General features: G+C 42.3%; 1 protein-coding gene across 8 annotated transcripts in view; it reads right to left on the reverse strand.

Moving 5' to 3' along the window:
• The window catches only part of GMDS (GDP-mannose 4,6-dehydratase), a 621,800-nt gene that overhangs the window by 264,151 nt on the left and 334,283 nt on the right, over positions 1-23,366 (reverse strand). The window contains exon 8 of one of the 8 annotated variants that reach the window (XM_006715066.4): positions 21,115-22,031. The exons of the other annotated variants lie outside the window; for them this stretch is intronic. Within the exon in view, the coding sequence (XP_006715129.1) occupies positions 21,930-22,031 (102 nt within the window). The 3' untranslated portion in view covers positions 21,115-21,929. Of the gene's footprint in view, positions 1-21,114; positions 22,032-23,366 lie in introns of those variants that run through there. 8 annotated transcript variants of the gene reach the window in all.

The following is a 23,366-nucleotide window of genomic DNA, read 5'->3' on the forward strand; positions in this document are numbered from 1 at the left end:
TTTTGTTTTGTTTTGAGACAGAGGCTCTGTGGCCTAGCCTGGAGTGTAACGGTGCAATCATGGCTGTCTGCAGCCTTGACCGCCTGGGCTAAAATGATCCTCCCACCTCAGCCCACCAAGTACCTGAGACTACAGGGATGTGCCACCATTCCTGGCTATTTTTTTATTATTATTATTATTTTTTTTTTTTTTTTGAAGAGATGAGGGTCTTGCTGTGTTGCCCAGGCTGGTCTCAAACTCCTGGGCTCAAGCTATCCTCCCCATATTAGTATGTTTTCACACTGCTATAATTACTAAGACTGGGTAATTTATAATGGAAAGAGGTTTAATCAACTCACAGTTCAGCAAGGCTGGGGAGGCCTCAGGAAACTTATAATCATGGTGGAAGGTGAAGGGGAAGCAAGGCACCTTCTTCATAAGGCGGCAGGAAGGACAATGCCAGAGGAATGACCAGACACTTATAAAACCATCAGATCTCGTGAGAACTCACTCACTATCGAAAGAACACCATGGGGGAAACGACCCCCATCATCCAGTTACCTCCACCTGGTCTCTCTCTTACACGAGGGGATTATGGGGATTATAATTCAAGATGAGATTTGGGTGGGAACACAAAGCCTAACCATATCATTCTGCCCCTGGTCTCTCCCAAATCTCAGGTCCCTTTCACATTTCAGAACCAATCATGCCTTCCCAACAATCCCCCAAAGTCTTAATTCATTCCAGCATTAACCCAAAAGTCCAAGTCCAAAGTCTCATATGAGACAAGGCAAGTCCCTTCTGCCTAGAAGCCTGCAAAATCTAAAGCAAGTTAGTTACTGCCAAGATGCAATGAGGGTACAGGCATTGGGTAAATGTTCCCATTCTAAATGGGAGAAATTGGCCAAAACAAAGGGGACACAGGTCCCATTCAAGTCTGAAATCAGCTGGGTGGTCATTAAGCCTTAATGTTCCAAAATAATCTCCTTTGACGTCATGTCTCACATCAAGGTCACACTAATGCAAGAGGTGGGCCCCCATGGCCTTGGGTACTCCCAACTAGGCCTCCCAAAGGAGGGCTGGGATTATAGGTATGAACCACTGCACCTGGTCAGTATTTAAAAATATATATGTATATATTTTGCTGTATTGTTATTTTTTATTGTAGAATCCATGGATGCGGAACGTGTAAAAACAAAGGGCTGACTATGCTACTTTCCTTAAGCCTTCACTCATTCTCCACACACTCATTAAAACTTTGTATGTGGCTTCCACCTCCACTGGATCTATATGAAAAACAGCGACCTCCCAAACATCAAACTCAGTGGCTCGTTGAGTCATTCCATAGCATTTCCCTTTGTGACTGCCCATTCTGTAAACCTGCCTCTCTTCCTTCACTTTCGTTATTCTGTGCCATCCTGGTTTCTTCCTTATCTCTCAATCATTCTTCTACCTTCTTCTTGGTCCTTAAAAAAAGAGCCGTGCTCCCAGGTTCTGCATTCCAACAACTTCACTGCTCTCCCTCCCTCCACATTCTCCCTGGACAGTTGGTTCACTTCCACGGCTTCGACTACTCTTCCATGCAAGGAACTTCACGTTTCCCTCTGGCACAGACCTCTCTCCCAAGTTCCAAACGTCCACTGGATTTTACCCTGGCATTTATTCTTGGTTTCTTAAGATTTTTACTACTTAAAAAAATCTTCATTGATATATAATTCACATACAAACAGATTGATTTTAGTATACTCAGGGAGTCACACAACCATTACCACGATCTAAGTTTAGAATACTTCATCACCCAAAAAGAAACACTGTACCCATTAGCAGTCGTTCCCCATTTCTGGTACCTAGCCCACGGCAACTACAGTGTACTTTCAGTGTCTATGGATTCTTGTGTTCTGGACATTTCATATAAATGGAATCATATAATATGTTGCCTTTTGGGTCTATCTTCTTTTACTTAGCATAATGTTTTCCAGGTTCATCCACATTGCAGTGTCCATTAGTGCTTTTTATGGTTGAATAATATGACGTATTATGGATGAATTACATTTTATTTATCCATTTATGAATTAATGGACATCATTCTACCAAAAGTTCCACTTTTTGGCTATTGTGAATAATGCTGCCACTAGGATCCCTGTGCAAGTTTTCATGTGGAAGTATGTTTTCATTTATCTTAAATATGTGCCTTTCTTGAACACCGAGAAACTGTCAAACTGCTTTACAAAGTGGCTAAGCTGTCTTACATTATCAATGCACGAGGGTTCCAACATCTCCACGTCATCGCCAATACTTGTTACAGTCTGTCTTTTTTATCACAGCCAGTCTAGTGGGGGTGAAGTGGTATTTCCCTGTGGTTTTGAGCGGCATTTCCTTAATGACTAATGGTGCGGCACATCTTTTCACGTGCATGTCCTTTCATGTCGGCTGAATATTTTCTGTGGGGAAATGTCTATTTAAGTCTTGTGCCTATTTTTAATTAGGCTGTCTTCTTATTCTTGAGTTGTAAGAGTTCTTTATATATTCTGGATACTGGCCCCTTATCAGATATATGACTTGCAAATGTTTTCTCCCATTTGGTAGGCTGCTTTTTTACTTTTTTGATGGTGTGCTATCAGAACAGTTTTTAACTTTGATGGAGTCCATTTTATCTATTTTTTCCATTGTTGCTTGTGCTTTAGGTGTTATATATCTAAGAAGGCTATGTCTAATTAAAGTTCAAGAAGAGTATCTCTCACCTGTGTTTTCAATCAATCAGCCTTGGAAATCTGGAATCTGCCTGTAATGTACCTTTTACCAAAGCCCACAATAAATCCACTTTTAATTAAGCTTTTAACACTTCATATGAATTACTTAAAAATAACAGACACAAATTTAGCAGGGTGGATTAAGGTTCAATGGTGTTTTCAAAAGAAAGTGTTACTATTTTTTACCCCAGCCGTGTCAATGTGAACAGTTGATGCCTCAATTTTAGCACTTACATTTCCAGCTAGGATCCATTTTGAGTTAATTTTTGTGACGTTCCTTCCCCACTGATTTGTCTGGGTACCATTGTTGAAAATCAACCAATTACAAATGTATGGGCTTATATTTTAAAAATCAACCTTATTTTCTTTCACAAAGCCAACTCCTGATTTTTACTGGTATTGCCATCTATTCTCCTGGTCTGATACATAAAGCCATCTTTGATTCGTTCCTTTCCTGTGCCTCCCCCACACAGGCATTAGTCAAACCACGTGGTTTCCATTTCTACAGGTTGTTTTCACTCATCCTTTCCTTTCCATTTTCAGTGTCATTATATCAAATCAAATCCTCACTACTGCTGTCTTCAGAAGGGCTGAGAAATAAATTCATGTCTAAATGGGCATACTGTGCTGTCCAAATCCAACCTACTATACAGCTAGTGGCCAGAGAAGAGGAGTTTAATGTGCTGGGATAAGAAATAAGCTGGTGCTATGAATGGCTGTGTCAGAACAAGAGCCCAGCCCATTCATATTCTAGCCTAATCCCTGAACTTCCAGAGTAGATTATGCTAATTTGGAAAACAGGGGCAGTCCTGGAGGATTCAAAAATTTCCAAGTTATTTAAAAGAAACTGCCACTTAGTATTAAGTACTTGATCTCCTAATTTAACAAGAGAGGCTAATTTTTAAAACTTGGTTACCACTTCCTTAGTGTTAGGTCAAGAAGAGGACGAACCGCTAGGGCAGTCATTCTTAAAATGTGGGAGCAAGAGTAGCAGCATCAGTATCTCCAGGGAACTTGTTAAAAATGCACATTCGTGGGTCCCACCCAGATCTACTAAATGAGACCTCTGGGAGTGAAGACCAAAATCAGTGTTTTAACAAGACTACCAGGTCATTCCTATGCACACTAGAAGTTTGATAACCACTGAGCTAGAAGACAGATGAGGATCCAGGGCTGAGGTCATATGACAATATCAACACCTCTTCCACATGCTGAAATTGCCAAGGAGGCCACAGAACTCCACAAATCCCATCGACTGTAAACATTCAGTAGTTACGCCATATAAATTGTTAGGATCCATGCTTAACTTCTGAAGGTAGCATAGGCTTTTGAAATTATTCAAAATTTAGTGTTCTCTTAAGAAAAAAACTATAAATAATATACTTGCTTATTTTTATACCACAAATCCCACATAACAGAAACAACATAGTAGAGATGTAAGTAGCACCTATTATTAAAGTATGTTCCTACTTAAATATGACATTTCTTTTCTCTCGGGGGAGACTGAAATATATATCCAAAGAGAAAGCCACAATACACATACAGCTTTTACCTAGAAATATGTCTTCCCTAGACTTGAAATCCATCAGCCTTGGGAATCTGGAATCTGCCTGTCTGTAATGCATTTCAGTAACAAATCTGTTACCAAAACCCACTACCATAAATCCACTTTTAATTAAGCTTTTTTCTTTTTAGATGGAATCTCGCTCTGTTGCCCAGGGTGGAGTGCAGTGGTATGATCTTGGCTCACTGCAACCTCCACTACCCAGGTTCAAGTGATTCTCCCACCTCAGCATCCTGAGTAGCAGGATTACAGGTGCACACCACCATGCCTGGCTAATTTTTGTATTTTTAGTAGAAATGGGGTTTCACCACATTGGTCAGGCTGGTCTCAAACTCCTGACCTCAGGTGATCTACTTGCCTTGGCTCCCAAAGTGCTGAGATTACAGGCATGAGCCACCACACCCAGCCTTAATTAAGCTTTTAACTCCCTATATGAATTACTTAAAAATTAACTATTGGATCTAACAGACAGACACAAATTTATCAGGGTGGCTTTAGGTTCACAGTGTTTGCAAAAAAGAAGGTGTTACCACTTTTTACCCCTAGCTGTGTCAATGGAACAGCCAATGCCTTGGCCTACTGTGACTGGACACGCATTCTGACTTGCAGCTGCAGTTTCCCTTCTTATGGCTGCTCCCAGATAAGACCGCTGCACAGAACCCAGTCCTGGCAACTGCTGCCTGGTCCTCTCCAGCGGCCTGTGCAGAGTTCCACACTAGCTCCTTGTTTATATCAGTCCCGTAATTAAGCCAGGGCCAGGAAGAGAAGTCCCAAAGAGGGCAACGAAAGTGCAAGGCAAAGAACTGGCTTTCGGCTGCAGCTTCCCCATCCACCTCCTTCCCACCTGACCTCAATTTAAGAGAGTGGAAATGGGGGCCCAGCTGGGAAGAAGGAAGGAGCATGAGCAGAGAACAACAGTTTCTCATCTCTGGTTTTTTGTTTTCTTTTTTTTTTTTTTTTTTGAGACGGAGTCTGACTCTGTCACCCAGGCTGGAGTGCAGTGGCGCGATGTCAGCTCACTGAAACCTCCACCTCCCGGGTTCAAGCCATTCTCCTGCCTCTGCCTCCTGAGTAGCTGGGATCACAGGTGCCCACCACCATGCCCAGCTAACTTGTATTTTTAGTAGAGACAGGGTTTCACCATGTTGGCCAGGCTGGTCTCGAACTCCTGACATTAGGTGATCCGCCTGCCTCCCAAAGTGCTGGGATTACAGGTGTGAGCCACTGCACCCGGCCCATCTCTGTTCCCTTACTGCTTTGCTGCCGCAACCTTCTCCATCCTCTTTTTCATTCTCAGTTGCCATTTTGAGCTTTCTTCACAAATTGAATCCTGTTTTCCAAATTGGCCAGTGAAACGTTTTTGCCATGCTGAAGTCATTTCCAGAGCTAAATCGGGAAAGCTGAGGCAGCCAGGCCACCTCCAGCTGGCTGGAATGCAGCTGCAATAAAAGGCAGTGTGAATAAGGTGTATTGAAGCTACACTGGACTCGTGTGAAGGGCCGTTTATTCAGAGGGGGTGGAGGTGAAAGGAGAGAAATTAATGAACAGAAGAAATTAAATTAGCTCAACCACGCCTTTAAAAAATATACTGAAAAATAACCGACCTGCCATGAACCTTTTTACAAAAATGGAGACCTCTGGGTCTGTTCTTTGCCCAGCCCCGCTGGCAGGAGGCGCTCCTGAGTTAGATAAGAAAGAGCCTGGAGGGGCTGAGGAAAATCTGGTTTCTCTTACTGCAGCCAGAAGGATGGAAGGCACAGTTGGGAAAGTCAATATGCAGCTGAGAGACAAGAGGTCACCGGAACTGATGAAAATATTTAATTAACTAATCACAGAACACCTGACACAAAAATAAACATGTCTTTTCATCTTAGCTATCACATTTTTCTTCAACAAAATGAAATCACGACCTATCATGTTCTCAAAAAGTTATTGATCAATTTATGAGCCTAATGCTTTAATTGATTGCAATAATATTTTACTCACACTTCTAATCTGATCTTACTGCCACTCTAAGAAAAGCTATGGGGAATTCCAATGGAAGAATGATGGTGTAGTTACAAGCAAAAAGTCCTTTATACTAGACGTATATTTCATATTTTGTGTTATAGGTATTTATTTTATGTTTTATATTATAGGGGTATTTATTAGGACAGTGTTATGGAAAATTATTCCTTCCTTAAGTAACCACCTAATTTTAATATTAAAACATTTCATAATATTAAAACATTAAGAGAACAATAATGAATACTGGTATTAAATATCTTAAATGCTGTTTAGTGCTTTCTTTACAGTTTCAAAGTGAGAGCACCCGTTTATCTCATTTTCACCTAAATGTGTCTTATTACATAGAGAGTGAGATGTTATACCTATTTTTTAATTTCCACAATCAGATATCCAGTAAGGGAATAAATGTAAATCAAGTACCACAGGATATTTTGTCAAAAGCATTATAGAGAAATGGGATGGTAATACAATCATTTTTTTAAAAAATTCTGTTTTATACAAAAGACTGAGCTCCATGGAGTTTGGAGGTTAAATCTAAAAGTACTCTTAGGTATGGCCCCATTGTCTATAGACACTAAGATTAAAGCAACAGACATTTAGGAAATAGTTATTAGTTGAGGTACGGGATTTTACTTTATTACCTACTGAAAATCTTACCCTCAAAAATCACATCCCCTCAAAGTAAATTCCAGACAAAAGATGTTCTTTTTCCCCCTTTAGGGTCTACAATTTATCAACCGGTTGGATATCTTCTAGAATTACTTTATATTCCTTCCCATTTGAACACAGCACACTCTGAACCTGTTCAAAGGTCAGACAGGATTTAAGAGTCCTTATAAGGCATTGTTGTGGCAGGAGTTGGCACTTGGACTAACTTTATCCGATGGGCAACGAGTTTGGGGAGTGCCTGAGGGTGTGGTACCTGGCTTGCTTGCCCTTCATGATTTTTGATGACTGCCCAGCTAAACCTGCCTTCCGTCCACCATTTACTCATGATGTGACTCAGAACACTAGGGTTTCTTGGAAAGATGAACCGTTTCTCCGCTGCATTTTCTTTTAAACCTTTGTGTTATCTTCCTCTGGTCAAAATGAACTATAGTAAGCTTAACAAAACACTGCCAAGCTATCATGTGTAGTGGGGTCAGCCAAAAAACAGACTTCAGCTATGCATTGCCCACTAAGGTAACCAGTGACCACATATGACCATTTAAGATAATATCAATTAAAATGATACAATTAAAAACTGAGCTCTTCATGTGCATAGGCCACACTCAAGTGCTCAATACACATGTGTGGCCAGGGATACTGTATTGAACAGCACTGATAAAGAACATTTCTATCACTAAAGAATCTTTTATTGAACAGACGTGCTTTACATGATTATTCTTCCCACCTTCTATGTAAACTCTGGTCATTATCAAATAGAAATGTGTAACAAAATGAACATGCACGCCAGTTATGCCCTGTCAGTTTGAAACTAGTATCCTGCCCAATAGGTTTTGTACATAGTTCTCAGTTTACTCACCACTTGGCCCCTCTCTTTGTTTCTAACCAGAACCACCAGATACAGAGACAGATCCAGAGCTGACCTAAGTTTAAAACATAAAGCGGTGAAATATGCCATCAGCTTCTTCTCCTACTCCTTTCTTTCCCTATCCATTCTTCTACTCAACTATTACTTACCGAGCCACAGTGCAGGCACTGAAGCTACAAAGCTGAGTGATTCATCGTTCCTGACCTCCAGGAGCACAATCTAATGAAGAATATGGAAAAGGAAAAAGAGGAATTTCCTAAGGGCTCCAATAAAGGCACAAGCAGATTGGGGGAGCAGAGAGCTTGGCTTGAGGATGATTATGTAAGGGCTGGAGCTAAGGCAGAGTTTCTCAAACTTGGCACTACTGGCCTTTTAGCTTGGACCATTCATTGTTGCCCTGTGTATCGGAGGATGTTCAGCAGCATCCTCGGCCTCAACCCATTAGATATGTGCACTCCCCCTAAAAACTGTCGCCAGACATTGGAAACGTTCCCTGGGGGCAAGATTGCTGCCTTTAGAGAAGCACTGAGCTAAGGCCTTTGGGACATGTTTGTTTATTTACTCCATAACATTCTTGAGGAACTTACTGCAAACAAGTGGTGAGAATAACAAGAGGGAAGGACAAAGTCCTCACACGAAGGACCTCAAAGTCTGGCGGGAACTAGAGTGGACAAATGGGCAAAGGAGAAGGTGACTTCAGAACGTGGGGAAAGCATGTAAGAAAGTATAGACGACTGACAAATCCGGGGAATCTGACAGCGGGGAAGGGGGCTCGGTGCTGGGAGGAGAGGGGGTGTCAGGTGAGGGCCATGTGAGGCAGGACCCATGTGAGGCGGGAGCAGAGTCAGATCATGAAGGTGTTGGTGTGCTGCAGGGGTTGTATCAAAGTTAGATTTCATCGTGAAGAAATCTGAACAAAGGAATACATGGGCAGGATTACCTTCTGGATGGTGGTGTAGACTCTGTCCCATCAAAGTGTGATTGACAAACACAAGTGCCATCAAGCGTCTACACTGCAGACAGACTGACTGGGAGTCTTTTTCCGGTTAAGATAACAAGGTTACAAATCACAGGTGATATAATAGGGATGAACAGGGAGACAGGGATTTGACTGATGTCTCTGGGAAGGACAGGGCTCACTGTTGGTGTTGTAGGGAAGACGAGGGCAGGACTCTAGGCTGATTTCCCAGTTTTGGGGCAAAGACAACAATGTACATGGAGCTCATATCAACAAAGGTGGGAGATTCGGGAGGAGCAGCAGGTGAACAAAGAGGTCTGGACAAGGGAGGCGAAGGCTGCTTAGCTGGTTAGGGCTGCTGTACCTGCTGCACCACAGACTGGAAATCCAAGATCAAGACGCCACAGGTTTGGTTTCTCCTGAAGCCTCATCTTGGCTGCCTGATGGCTGCCTTTTCCCTGTGTCCTCACATGGCCTTTCCTCAGTGTGCACGTACTCCTGGGGTCTCTTCCTCTTCTCATGAGGACACCAGTCCTATTGGATAGGTCCCTACCCTAATGGTCATTTTAAATTAATCACCTGTTTAAATAACTTATCTCCAAATACGGTCACATTCTGAGGTACTGGGGGTTAGCATTTCAACATCTGAATTTTGGTTGGGGTTAGGTGGCAAAATTCAGCCCATAGCAGAGGCTGAGGATGGCATCCTGGAAAGGGAGCTTAATGTGGGGTTGAGAGCATGGTTAAATTGCGTGGAGTCCAGGTTCTGTCTCCTCTAGCTTTGGGACCTGGACAAATTGTATATCTTGCCAATATTTAAGGGACAATCTGAAGAAACAAAGTTTGTAATAAAGACTGAAAATGAGTGGCCAAGAATGTTCTTTACCTCAAACATTTATCAGTTCTCTGAGTTGGGAGCATCTCATTTCTCTTTTAGCTACTTTGAAATACACGATAAATTATTCTTAACAATAGTTATTCTACTGTGCAATCAAACACTAGAACTTATTTCTTCTAGCTACCTCTATGTACGTACTCATTAACCAACCTCTTTTCATCCCTCGACATGACCTGTCCAATGCTGAATGATCCCTAGACAGCCTTTCATGCAAAAGAAGCTCCTGATAACTGAGGTTATCTAATGAGTCCCACAGGCTGGATCTACTCCACGGCCACCCTTGCCATCCTGGACACCTATCCTGGCCACCCTTGCCATCCTGGACACCTACCCTGGCCTCCCTTGCCATCCTGGACACCTACCCTGGCCTCCCTTGCCATCCTGGACACCTACCCTGGCCTCCCTTGCCATCCTGGACACCTACCCTGGCCTCCCTTGCCATCCTGGACACCTATCCTGGCCTCCCTTGCCATCCTGGACACCTACCCTGGCCTCCCTTGCCATCCTGGACACCTACCCTGGCCTCCCTTACCCTCTTCTGCTCAGGGTTCTCCACTGGGTGGCAAATCCCACCCCGGAAGAGACCCTGGAGGCCTTTCCCCTGGCTTCAGGCCATCATAAAACTTACTAAATTTTGCTAAAGAAAATCACCTTCTAAATAAAATTATTTGGCAATTTAAAAATCAGAATTGCAAGATACCTTAGAAACTGCCTAGTTGAGTCTCTTTAAGATGAGGAAACTCATGCTTGCAGGTATAGACAGCTCTGGTGCCAGTATGTTTCATACAAGTGATGTGATTACAGTCAGCCCATTCGCTTCCTAGGGTCCAACCTCCTTTTCTATAATATGGGCAAAATAATAGTTTCCACCCTCCTTGTTTGGAGGGCATTTACCAGTTCCTAAGTCTGTAGGGGCGCAGCAGTGAAAAATTGCACACCAGTCAAGCCCTCCTGACCTCACAGTCTAGCATGGAAGAAAGACTTTGAACAACTAACCACAAGTGTCCTGTCAGTTACAAAATAAAAAACAGGATCCAATGCAAGCTTGGGAATGAGATGCCAATGTAATATGGGGGATCAGAACAACTTCCTGCGGGGAGATGACACTCTAAAGGAAGGTGCTGTGAGAATCAAATCCCAGCGTGTATTGATCTAAGAGATATTCCTTCCCACCTATGCTGGGCCAGAAAGTGTGCCAGTGGCTGGGGATTTCCAATGAACAGGACTGACGGGGCTCCTGCCCTAACGGAACTTACAGCCAACAATAAAGAACATCATGGATTACACAAATAATGAATTAATTACAACGGCGATAAATGTCATAAAAGGAAATGAAATAATGTACATAACAGTGCTTCATGAGCTTTCGCCTGCCTTATAAATGCTCCTCTGTGCTAAGAATAATAGAAGTGGCAATGGGAGAATAAAGTTAGAAAGAAAGCTTCCTTTCTTCCTGCTTTCCTCTCTCCCTCTTCCTCCTTTTCTCCATCCATCCTGCCCGTCTGTCTGGGGAGCTGGTAAGATATCTCTTGTGAACACACCAGGCACATGGTAAATAATTAGATAGTCATTTATGGTGTTATTTTTCTTCTCCAATCTTACTTAGAATGTCAGATTTAAATGTTATCAGTGTTTGTTTTGATTTGTGTTTTTTTTTTTTCCTGCATGCTTTGATCCATCAGAATGCACTGGCATAATTAGTAATATCTAACTTTATTACTAGGAGAAAATGTAAGACCGTGGTCCCCACGCGTCCTGGCTAAGGGGACTAAAGTGAGTAGCAGTTACAATGCTTGATATGGCAAAGTGGAATAAAGGTGACCCATGGAACTTTTTAAGGAGTAGACTCCGTTCAAGAGAGAAGACCTTCGTCAAGAAAGCCTGGTGCTATAGCTGCAATGAACCAAGAGAGAAAGCCGGTGGGCCATTCCAGGAGATTATGGAAGAAAGTAGTAGTTTTAATAAGTTCACTATAAAAAATATTACATTTCAAAGCCAAAAAACAATCTCCTAAGGCTTCAGTGGAAACTTAGCTCACACTGTTTTGTAAACATGACCTAATCTTTATGAAACGCTGCATCATTTGGAATTTGGCAGTGAAGGAGTAGAGCAAAGAGAACACAGTCGCCACTCTAAGGCCCCGTGGAGACCTGCAACAGGGCACCCTGTCGTTAGCTGCTGAAGAAAGTCCACACATCTGCCTACACACTAAAGAGAACACAGTCGCCACTCTAAGGCCACGTGGAGACCTGCGACAGGGCACCCTGTCGTTAGCTGCTGAAGAAAGTCCACACATCTGCCTACACACTAAAGAGAACACAGTCGCCACTCTAAGGCCACGTGGAGACCTTCCACAGGGCACCGTGTTGTTAGCTGCTGAAAAGTCCACACATCTGCCTACACACTCTGAGTCAACGTTCAAGGCTTAAGTCACTCTATTTTCTACATGAACTGTCCCTTCCCTAGAAAGTCAAGCTTGGAGGAGCAGGGAGCCTTATCTGGGTCAGAGGCATCGCTCTGGAGCCTTCTTCATTGGACGGGGAGAAACTAGGGTTGTGGGGTGACCTCCATGGAGTTCCAACATAGAGGTAGGTGTGGATGGCCACGCAGGTAGAGGCAGCTCCTGAGCAGATGCTGCTAAAATTTCACAATCTGAGGCGTTATCATGCAGAGTCTACAGTGAACACCGTCAACAATGCGTGCAGGAAAAAATTTTAAAATGTCTGATATGCTAGCACATAACACACAAGCACCAATGAAATCCATCTTTTTATAACCACTTCAACTTTAAGACCTAAGCCTTTATTACGATTAAAAATGTGTTGATAAAGAGCCCCTGCTGTTAAGTCTGATGTCAAATTTCATAAATCATGAAGTTTTTAAGATAACTTCTACTGAAGTATAATATACAAATTAAAAAGTACACATATCACAAGCACATGGCTTGATGTATTTTCAGAAACTAGTCATGAAGTTTTATGGCCAACTTCTACTAATCTTTCAAATAATGTGACAAGAAGAGACAGTTTGGCATAGTGAAAAGGAAAAACCAGTAGCCAGAGAAGCTGCTGGGTCATTTTACTTCATTCTGGCTCTCCGACACTGGATAAATCAGTGACTTATTTCAGTCTTCATTTCCACATCTAATCAGAGTAGACAATTTCTAAGTGTACCTTCTAGTCTAAAATGTTATACTTTGAAAATGTATGTTCCCTTAACTGCAAAAAAGCACTCTCGATGATATCACTCACAGTGTTTCAGACGACTCAGTTATGCCAACATGTCGCGCTAACTCACTACCACGCAAGGGAGAAAGTAGTTATGCTGCAACTTTTTCCTTCCCAGGCCACTTCCTAATACATTTACTAGCAAGAAAGGCATGTCTTCAGCAACCATCCACGTCAGAGAACGGCGAAGCGCTGGTAGCAGAGCGTAAGCAGCCCTTGGGTGCCTGCACCTGCTTTCCAGTGAGCCTTTTAGATGTGGCTCCCTGGTTCCGTGGCTCCCGGCTCTCAGCTCCTGGGGGCAAGCATGCCTGGAGTCGCCACATGGTGCCCAATATTCCGGGCTACAGAGATGGCCTGTGCTAATTACGATACGTTTCTCTCCACGACCGTGGAACATAATTCTGATGTTGACTATGGCAAGCTCTTAAAGTCAGCCTTTTCTGAATTTTAACAACGTGTTACTACTTGGGCTTGGTAACGAGATGTTCTTGCTCACATTGATCAAAACTACATTAGGTCTGTTAAGTCAGCTTTTCATCCCATTGTAACAAAAAAAACATAGAAAAGAAAAAATATATAATGAAAAAGATTCTATTAGGAGGTCAGGCCACCTATTTTAAGGAATTGCAGTAACTCCTTCAGATCAGTTGAAGACCCCATATTATGGTTTCCACAAAATAAAAGGGATCCAAATACAAAGAGTTAACACATTTTCCAAAAATTCTTATATGCTAGGAGAATTTTGTTGCTCTTTCCCACAAGGCTTTTTTTTTGAAGCTCAGAGAACTCTACTGTGGCCTTTGATATGTCATGGCAATGACTCACCAAACTGTCCCTAACTAGTCTGAAAAGACACAGGCCAGCCTTTGCTCATTCAGTGTATACTGAGCTCATCCTATGTGCTTGTTACTAAGTTAGACGCTGAAGAAACAAAATGAAACATGCATTCTTGCCCTTAACAAACCAGTCATCCATCTGAATAGGGAAACACATAAACAATAAGTAATCAGTTACTGCTATGGAGACCACACACACAGAGGGGAGACAGGGAAAAGGGCTACTGTGGGTGCTCAGATGACTTCTGCGCAATGGTAAAGGATACAGCTTTATTTAAACACGAAAATACTTCAAAATTAAAATACAAAAGAACAACCTAATGGATGCGAAAATCTGGGGTGAAATATCACATACGCTGTGCCATTTACCAAATGCCAACTGGCTCAAAGTTCTAGAAGTGTGTAATTAATTCTGCACATTGAGAATTAAGTATGCAAGAGTATTTAAAATCGGCAATGGGGCAAGCTTATTTATCTAAATTTCCTTGCTCTTAAAATCTAGTCCTCATTCTGGAGACACATTGTCCTAGGCCATTCATTCTCACTTGATGTTATTAAAACTAAAATATAGAATAAAAGGCAATGGTAAATACAAAAGTTATTTATGGACTAAGTAATAAAGCATGACACAGAAACCCTTCTAAAAACATAAATTATCTGAACTAATGGAAATGTAAATTTGTAGTAAATTATTTTTTCTAGATTACTGACTAAAATAAGTAAAGGGTCCTAGAGGAAAGGCCTTAAAAAACAAAGTATCATGCTGCTAGATCCTTAATAACCCAAAATGATCTACCAGTCCTCAGTAATCTCAATAGAAATGTGTAGCACATCTGGAAAATAGGTGAAATTCCTGTTTCTGGGATATCGCACAGCTATGTTAAAATTCATTTAAATTGATACTTCAACCACAAGATAAGGTGAATATAGGATAAAAAAATAGTAAGACGCTATATATGACGACTCACAATGTCACTATTAAAAGGCCAGTGGACTTCTAAAAATTCCTTACAAGTAAATATGATTGTACATTTAAATATCTGGGTCAAATAACAGGTAAAAACACTCTGATCACTCAAATTAAACCATAATATTTTTCTTAAATCTGTTCAGCACATAAACTATTGTTTATTAACAAAATTTTCAGGTCTAGAATTTAAACATCAATATAACATTGTGAGGAAGTAACATCTTCTGGGGAAAGTTGAATTTTCCATGGATAAAAGCTTAATGTTAATATAAAGATAGGCTGTATAATAGCAAGCCCTCCTAGTCACAAAAAGCCTATTTATATCTATCAAAAGATTCCAATTATTTGCATCAAATGTGTCTATTATAAATTGCACAGCAATCAGGAGATTCACTTTGTTTTATTTACAAAGTTTCTACATAGCTGATTTACAGATATTCAGGGAAGGAAAGTATACACATTACCACAAAAAAAGATTGTGGATTTATTAGTCTTTGATGATGTCTTCTTTTCCCAACTTCAGAATCAAATTTCTACAAATAGTGGTAAAATTTAACTTTAAAGTCATATAATATGATCACGATATAGGGTTTTGAATTATACACTTTCTTGTTTCCTACTTCAAATGCAGTACTTTGCACATACGGAGAATTAATGTTGCACATTGCTTTTCATATGAATTTCTTCAATCGGAATTTAATTAGGCACCCTTTTGTTGAGTACATGGAATTGTGTGGAACTAAAGGAAGACCTGGATAAGTCCTAATCCAAAAGCTATTCTCGTCTAATTCAACTTTCTGTGAATAAAAATATCTCAAAAGCATTTCATCTACACAGCTTCTCTGCTCTAAACAATTTACAGGTTCAGCAGGAACCAGGCATAAATCTCACTGCATTTTTTTAAAACAATGAAACCTCTTTACTTGGTTCATTTTCTTTTGTCTCCTCAATTAAAGCACACCTTCTGATATATTACATGTTCCTTCCCTTTAAATACTGTACACACACAGTCTGACATAGATTTTTCTTCTTGCCTTGCTGGAAAGCTTGTCCTGTTTTCTCCAAACTAGATAAAGTTCACTCAGATGTGCTTACGGGCGCCTCCCTCCCCTCAGTGCCCTCCCAACCCTGGATGCCTTTCTGTCCTCCTCCATATTCTTGGGTGGGCAGGAACCTGGGGAGATGCAGCCACCAGGCAGCTTGCTACTCTCCTGAAGCACATCTGGGCTTTATATTAGGCCTTTAATTAATCCTCAGTGAAAGCCAAGCTATGACATTTTGACTGGGCAGGCTCCAGTTCTGGACAGGTCTTGATTTATTGCGACTGAGTCCCAACCAACTTTGATTTATTTCAGCTTAGGGGAGGAAGGCAAGCTTGGAACAGAAAAGCGCTGTTGAATGTTGAGCACGTGATGTCAGGACAGGCCCTCCAGACTTCCAGGGGCACGGGACAAGCGGTTCAGAAGAGAATGGCTTCTGAGAAAGCCATTTTAAAACCCTAAGATTTAAATAACACGAAATTGTACCAGACAAAATAAATGTAATCACAGAGGAGAGAAAATGGCTCCTGAAACAGTTGGCTGATTGTGGCAGGGTAGGAAGCCCCAGCCTTATCTCTGGGAAAAGGAGGAAACCCTGGGGGCCTTACTGTTAATCAGGACTCTCATTTGCATTCGGGGGCTGCTCTGTGTGGCCGTCTGTCCTTCCTGAGAGCAAAGGCCAGGAGGACTGCCCCCTCCTCGGCAACACCAACAACTGATAGTCCATTAAATGAGAGCAGATTTCCTTTTTGCAGGCAGACAGAATAAGTCAAAAGAAGGCAAAGTTACTCCATTAAGCAAAGACAAAAGGGTCAGTCCATTTAACGAACGAATTTGTTTCCTTTCCGGCCAGGCTTTCCTGACAGAGCCGATAGTAGAGTGCTGTGCTCACTGCTGTGTCCTTGAGCGTGGGTTGTCAGAACAGTGACTCGCCGGCTCCCACACCAGCAATGCGCAGTACCTTCCTGTTGGCCAAGTTAGGGCTCAGGGTGGTGCCCACTTAATACCTCACTGCAGGCTTCACTGGGCCTAGCATGATGCCTCGCACATAGCCAGGAGCCCCCAGCACAGCAGCTTTGACTGCTGACAAAGCCCTGTTCCCTCCTTGGGGGTGGCAGAAGGAGTGCATGAGATGGACCTGTCCCCAGTGTCACATGGTTGACAAAGGGCAACGTCAACAATTCTCAGAGGCAACGTTAAGTTCCTTAAAAGGGAGATAATGGTAGGAAAAATGTGTTGCAAAACAAAGAAGAGGGGAAGCAGAAGAAAGGGGATAAGGGCAGAAAAGATGGATAGAGGTAGCATGGCCCAAGCAAGTAAGAACAGCACAAGCTCTGGCATCCATGACATGAGATCCAAACTCCATCCCAGCGACTTACCTGCATGTGCTCTGTGCAAGCTACTTAACCAAGCGATGCCTCCTTTGGGCAGCGAGCACTTATTCTCAGGGCAGCTGTGAGGTCCAGGGGAAAGCCTTGCAAAGCTCTTCCACACTGGGCCTCACCCCTGGTGCCGAGGGCACTGGCCGGTGTCATTAGAGGTGGGGCCTCAAAGGTGCCTGTGCATCTGCATGTGGGGCCAGCACATAGCTGTGGGTGCTGGCGTGTAGGTGGGACCTCAAAGGTGCCTGTGCATCTGCATGTGGGGCCAGCACATAGCTGTGGGTGCTGGCGTGTAGGTGGGACCTCAAAGGTGCCTGTGCATCTGCATGTGGGGCCAGCACATAGCTATGGGTGCTGGCGTGTAGGTGGGGCCTAAAAGGTGCCTGTGCATCTGCATGTGGGGCCAGCACATAGCTGTGGGTGCTGGCGTGTAGGTTGGACCTCAAAGGTGCCTGTGCATCTGCATGTGGGGCCAGCACATAGCTGTGGGTGTTGGTGTGTAGGTGGGACCTCAAAGGTACCTGTGCATCTGCATGTGGGGCCAGCACATAGCTGTGGGTGCTGGCGTGTAGGTGGGGCCTCAAAGGTACCTGTGCATCTGCATGTGGGGCCAGCACATAGCTATGGGTGCTGGCGTGTAGGTGGGACCTCAAAGGTACCTGTGCATCTGCATGTGGGGCCAGCACATAGCTGTGGGTGCTGGCTTGTAGGTGGGACCTCAAAGGTACCTGTGCATCTGCATGTGGGGCCAGCACATAGCTGTGGGTGCTGGCATGTGACAATAACCCCATAGGCCATCTGGGAACACGTATGCAGGTGTCCCTGAGAAGGAGCGCCCAGGTGGCTGTTGAGTCCAAGCCATCTGACATGCTCAAATGGAAATGGAAAGTACCCACCGAGACTTTCTTCACAGATCCACACAGAACAGCTGTTCCAAAAAACGATACAATGATCTTTACATGAAACTACCAAATAAGTGATGCTTGTGACAAGTATTACTGTAACTGTTAGCTTTGTTGATTAGTCTTAAAGGTTGAGCAGCACATTAGGGACCTCAGAGAAGTGCTATCACATTTCAAAGCTGGCTGCATGGCATATGTATATATGTATATAAGCCATCCTACATATGCATATAAGCCATTCTGTGGGTGGTCAGTTCCCCATTCCTGCAAATAGTCAAGTGCCAGCATTGAGAGCTGGGGTGCCAGGACTCAGTAAGCCAGTTCCAAATGTGCAGTGAGCCTTTGCACCATGAAACTAACACAATCCTAGGGATTCTCAGGTACTATTTAGCCCACACCAAAACACTAATTGCTGTTAAGTAAAATAACCTGGGTCAAATTAGATATTTGCACAATAAAATGCAATTATTCTGTCATTGCAGTCAGCAGATTTTAATTTTTATTGCCTTTTTTAAACCTAGGTTATCTGAATACATGCACTCACTGATTTTAGAAATCAAACTCTTTTCACATCTCTATGATACTCTAGTTTTTCAAAGAAATTCTCAAGAGGTTAGTGGGGTGTGAAGCCCAAAATGCTGGCCATTCACAAGACCTGTGAAGCCTACGGGTCCTGGGTTTGCAAGCCAGGGGGTTTCCTGCAGTTCCAAAAGCTTTTGTGCTAGAGGGCAGGGAGGGAGGACAAGGAAAGGAGTAGGAGCTCTCCCATCTGGGAGCTATCTTCGGATCACACAGACAGAAGCGGCTGTTCCCAACGGTCCCAGGCTACTCAAAGCACAGGCTGCAAGGTCCTTTTCACCAGCCATTCATTCCCTAATAACACTTTACATAGCAGGAAATGGGCAGAGAACCCACCGTAGGGGCTCCCTGCACACAGCCCCAGCCTCCGAGAGGAGGCAAGGGTGGATGGCACATGTTCCTCTCCCAGACCATGGAGGGTGAGAACTCAGATGCACTGCAAAACTGTCAGTCTGTATGCTTCCAGGATTCCTTATTTTTCTGTCATTGTCTCACAGGCATATATATTTGTGTCTGCAAGCACACACTCTAACATTATTTGCTGTTTCGCATGTGTAATCTCTCTACCCATTTGACAACTGGCTTATGGGGAAGATGGCTTGGCATGCACGTGTCAGTGTATGTGTATCAACTTGAACTCAACACGCATAGACTCTGATACTCTAAAGCTCCACATGACAGATGAGGGGAAGATGAGAAACTGGTGGATGGGTTTCAGCAAATCAAGCACCCCACGGTCCCATGTACTGATTTTCAAAGCTGAATTTTAACATAATTTAAGCCAACAAAACAAACTTGGCACAAAGCAAGATACTGAGACCTCTGAATAAAAGCAACTTTCTAAAAATATTTAAAAAGAAGTTTTGTTTAAGAAATCCCAAACCAATACCTACCTTGGGCCAATACAGTATTGAAACAAGGGAAGTGACAGGACAGGAACCCTTCTAGAAATGTTCCACCTTTGAAGGTATCATCTCACTAACATAGGTGAACTCTCTGTTTTATGACATGGTGTATTTCTTTTCCCAGGCAAATAATTTCCTAAAGCAACCATCAGTGACACATTTAATGTTACGAAGTCAGTCGGACACAGAGCAAGCATGAAAGCCTGCTTCCATGGGAGGCAGGTGAGCCTCCTGAGCTGGTACACATTTTACAAAAGCACAGAATTTTAAGGGAATATAGGGTTATAAACATAAGTTGCATGTCCATATAAAAGAGACAATAACTGGCCAATAAATGAACTATACAGTTCTCCCCTCTTATCTGTGGGAGATGTTCCAAAGTCCCCGGTGGATACCTGAAATTGCAAATACCAAACCGTACACACACGATGTTTTTTCCCATGCATACATATCCACGATAAATCGTTTAAAAATTAGACACAGTAAGAGCTTAACAACAAGAACTAATAATAGAACAATGATAACAATATGCCAGCATCAAAACGCTTGCACCATGGGGCCATTATTAGGTAAAGTAAGGATTCAGTGAACACAAACACTACAATACTTCAACAGTCAATCTGATAACCAAGGAGGCTACTAAGAGACTAATGGGTGGGGAACATCGACAGTGGGGATCCACCGGACAAAGGAATGGTTCACGTCCGGGCAGAACGAAGTGGGATGGTGTGAGATTTCATCATGCTACTCAGAAAGGTGCACGATTTAAAACTTATGAATTATTTCTGTAATTTCCCATTTAATATTTTCAGATCACGGTTGACTGCGGACAGGTGAAACCGTGGAGAGTGAAACTGCGGATAGGAGGGGGCTACCGTACCATTCTTTGTAGGTTCCTTTTCTTATATTTTTCACTTAAAAGCTTAAACTAATGTTTCTCTGTCCCAAGTAGTTTACAAATGTAGACCAATTTTGTTCTGAAAGTCTCTTGGCAAAAGATATTTTCTTGAATCAAAATTTTCTTTAAATTTGGGCTATGCTACAAACCTCAATAAAAGTGGCATAATTTTAATTTCATCATTCCAGTTAATAAAGAGGCATAGAAAGTGCATCACTCTACTCAGCCATCCTCCCTTCCTCTTGACTTCTTATCATTCCTCTGATCCTCAGACACACACATGGCACCATAAGGCAGGAACTGCTGCTCGAAGGCTTGATGATTCCAAGAGAGGTGAGAGGTAAGCTCTTCCCTACGGCTGTTTGCTCAGACAGCTGGACATGTATTGGAATAATCTGCTGTAGTCAGTTTCTTCATATGTTTATGTAGCTAAAGATTAGAGCAGAAATTAAAAAATCAAGAGTTCTGCGTTAAGATCCCAGGTCTGCACCTGACTCACGGCTGACCCTAAAGGCAAGCCATTTTAGCTGGAGGGGGGTTACACCATCCACATCTCTGTAATTAGCATGCCTATAACCAACCAGTTCAGACAAAAAGACTTTGAGATTCCCAGGGGAAAAAAGGCTACGTAGATGAAAGAATGACAGGGTATCCACCAGAAAACGCAGGATATTAGTCACACCGGTCAAGTTATAAACGTTTAATTTATTTGTATTGCTGCCACTAGGAATAAAAAGAGCATATCATACATCTTGATGAAATGCCTTTCAAACAAAGACTTTACGGTTTTTGGAACAAGTAAAGTTTGGTGAATTAAGTGAGATAAACCCCAGAGAAAGGTGCAGCTAAACTGCTCTCCATGATGAAATTAATTCTTAGTCTGAAGCCGAGGCACTTGAGTAAAGTTTTTTCAAAATTCCCACTTGACAATTTAGGTTCTGCCTACTTGTGAATTACCTGCTTAAAAGAACAGGTACAAAGACTCTGCCTAGTACAAATCAAAGACCCAAAAGTATAGACTATGTTCTTTGGTTAATCCTATGTCAACAACCAGATGCTTTCTTAGGTCCTTTACTTTAGAAATCCTGGGATTCTCCGGGTTGCAACAGGATCTTGCTGTGAGTGTAAGCTGCCCTCCTTTTGAGTGGGGCCCAGTAGTCACTGAGGGTGATTCTTGTGTGGTTGCTTTTCTCCAAGGACAATCTGTATTCTAGAAGGTAAAATGTGTCCATCCGTGTGTGATGCTGGCTACAGCCACTCCAAAACCTCCCTGAAGACTCTCCCTCTGGGGAGAAGACTGAGAAGAGTCTTCTGCTTACTCCTTCCACATGCAGGGACGGCATGGCTATGGCCCCATGGGTGAGTCAGTAGGCACAAGGCGAGGGTCACATGATCACCACAATGAAAGTGATACAGTGCTTATCCATCAAGATGGCATCACAGAAGCATCCAGATTTTCTTTTCTCACCGCTGCCCCTCTTCAGGATTCCATAACCGTAGTTAAGAACAGTGGTTTTTAAATATGGGATTCCGTGTATAAGAAAGCAAACTCCCGATCAAGATCCAGAGGCCTGAACTGTGGCTCATCTGAGATGAGGTGTGCTGTGAAGTATAAAATGTACACTGGATTTTGAAGACGTCGTACAGAAAAAGGAATGTAAAATGTCTCAATAATTTTTTAATATTTTTTACATGCTTAATATTTGGGATTTATTGACTTAAAAATATTCTTAAAATTAATGTTACATTTTTACTTTTTATAGTGTAATAATCACTGAAAATTTAAAATTATATAACATATGGCATGCATGTATAGCTTGAATTTTATTTCTATCAGGTAGCACTTTCTATAGTATTTTTTGTCCTGGTATGTTTAAAAAAAAAAAAAGATGTTAGCTTAGCTTAAGCTCAGAATAATAAATGAAACTGAAAAAAAAAAGAAGATGATACTGGGCTTTATAAATAATTTGTTTCACTGAGGGATTGTACAATGTTAAAACACAAAATCATAATCTGTGTCACAGAACACTACGTTCTGTTAGCAGATATATTTAAAAACAACATAAAGTTTATACTAGATGGTAAATACTGCTGTACGGAAAAAGTGTTCAAAAGATGATTCCATATTCTCAGTTTCTAAATCTTAACCTGTGTTGAACTCCAGCCCCCTCCCTTTGAATAGAAGGAAAGTAAGATTTGGAACGGTGAAGTGATTGTAGGAGGCCAGGCAGCAGCAGGAAGAGGCTGAGGACCCAACATACAGCACAGCAGACGCTTTGCACATACACGAGGGTCTTTTGATTCTGGCGTGCAGTCACCAACCTCACCATGAAAAGCCTCAGTCTGAGGAAAGTGTAGGGATAAGACTGAATATTCCATCTAGAGATAAATTCCACAAGTATATATAGATTGTTAATAAAAACAAGTGGTGAGGCCAATGCCCTCCAGGAAATGTGTCACAGGAGTTTTTCTCTGAATGAGTTAAGCATTGACTTTTTAAACATTGCTATTAAAAAACTGGCATTGTGTTTTTAAGAAAAATCTCTGGAAGCTCTGGAGACAGGGCAATTAATGAATTAAATGTACCACTAAAAAGTTCACTTCATTTCCCAAGGTGGTCTGATGGAAAATCTGTTCCCACAGCCTGGACCCTACAGTCAGGGAAAGATGGAGGGGCTAGTTCTGAAGCATTTCGAAAGCAAAGAAAACAGCAACGTGTACCATATATTTGATGTGGGTAATAGACAGGGCCCTCCAAGAGGAACGTTTCTAAAAGTAATAAGCTTTCCCTACATACTGATCCGCGTAACCAGAGCTGGGGAAACTGTCTCCAGGGACATGCTAATGTCTCCCAAAGAAGGGCAGTCAGAAAGTTCAGCTGTTCTATCTTTGGACCATTAATACTGGATGTTGAGTCAGGCTACATCCCAAAACACC

The sequence above is a fragment of the Homo sapiens genome, chromosome 6 (assembly GCF_000001405.40).
Source record: "Homo sapiens chromosome 6, GRCh38.p14 Primary Assembly".
Lineage (NCBI taxonomy): Eukaryota > Metazoa > Chordata > Mammalia > Primates > Hominidae > Homo > Homo sapiens.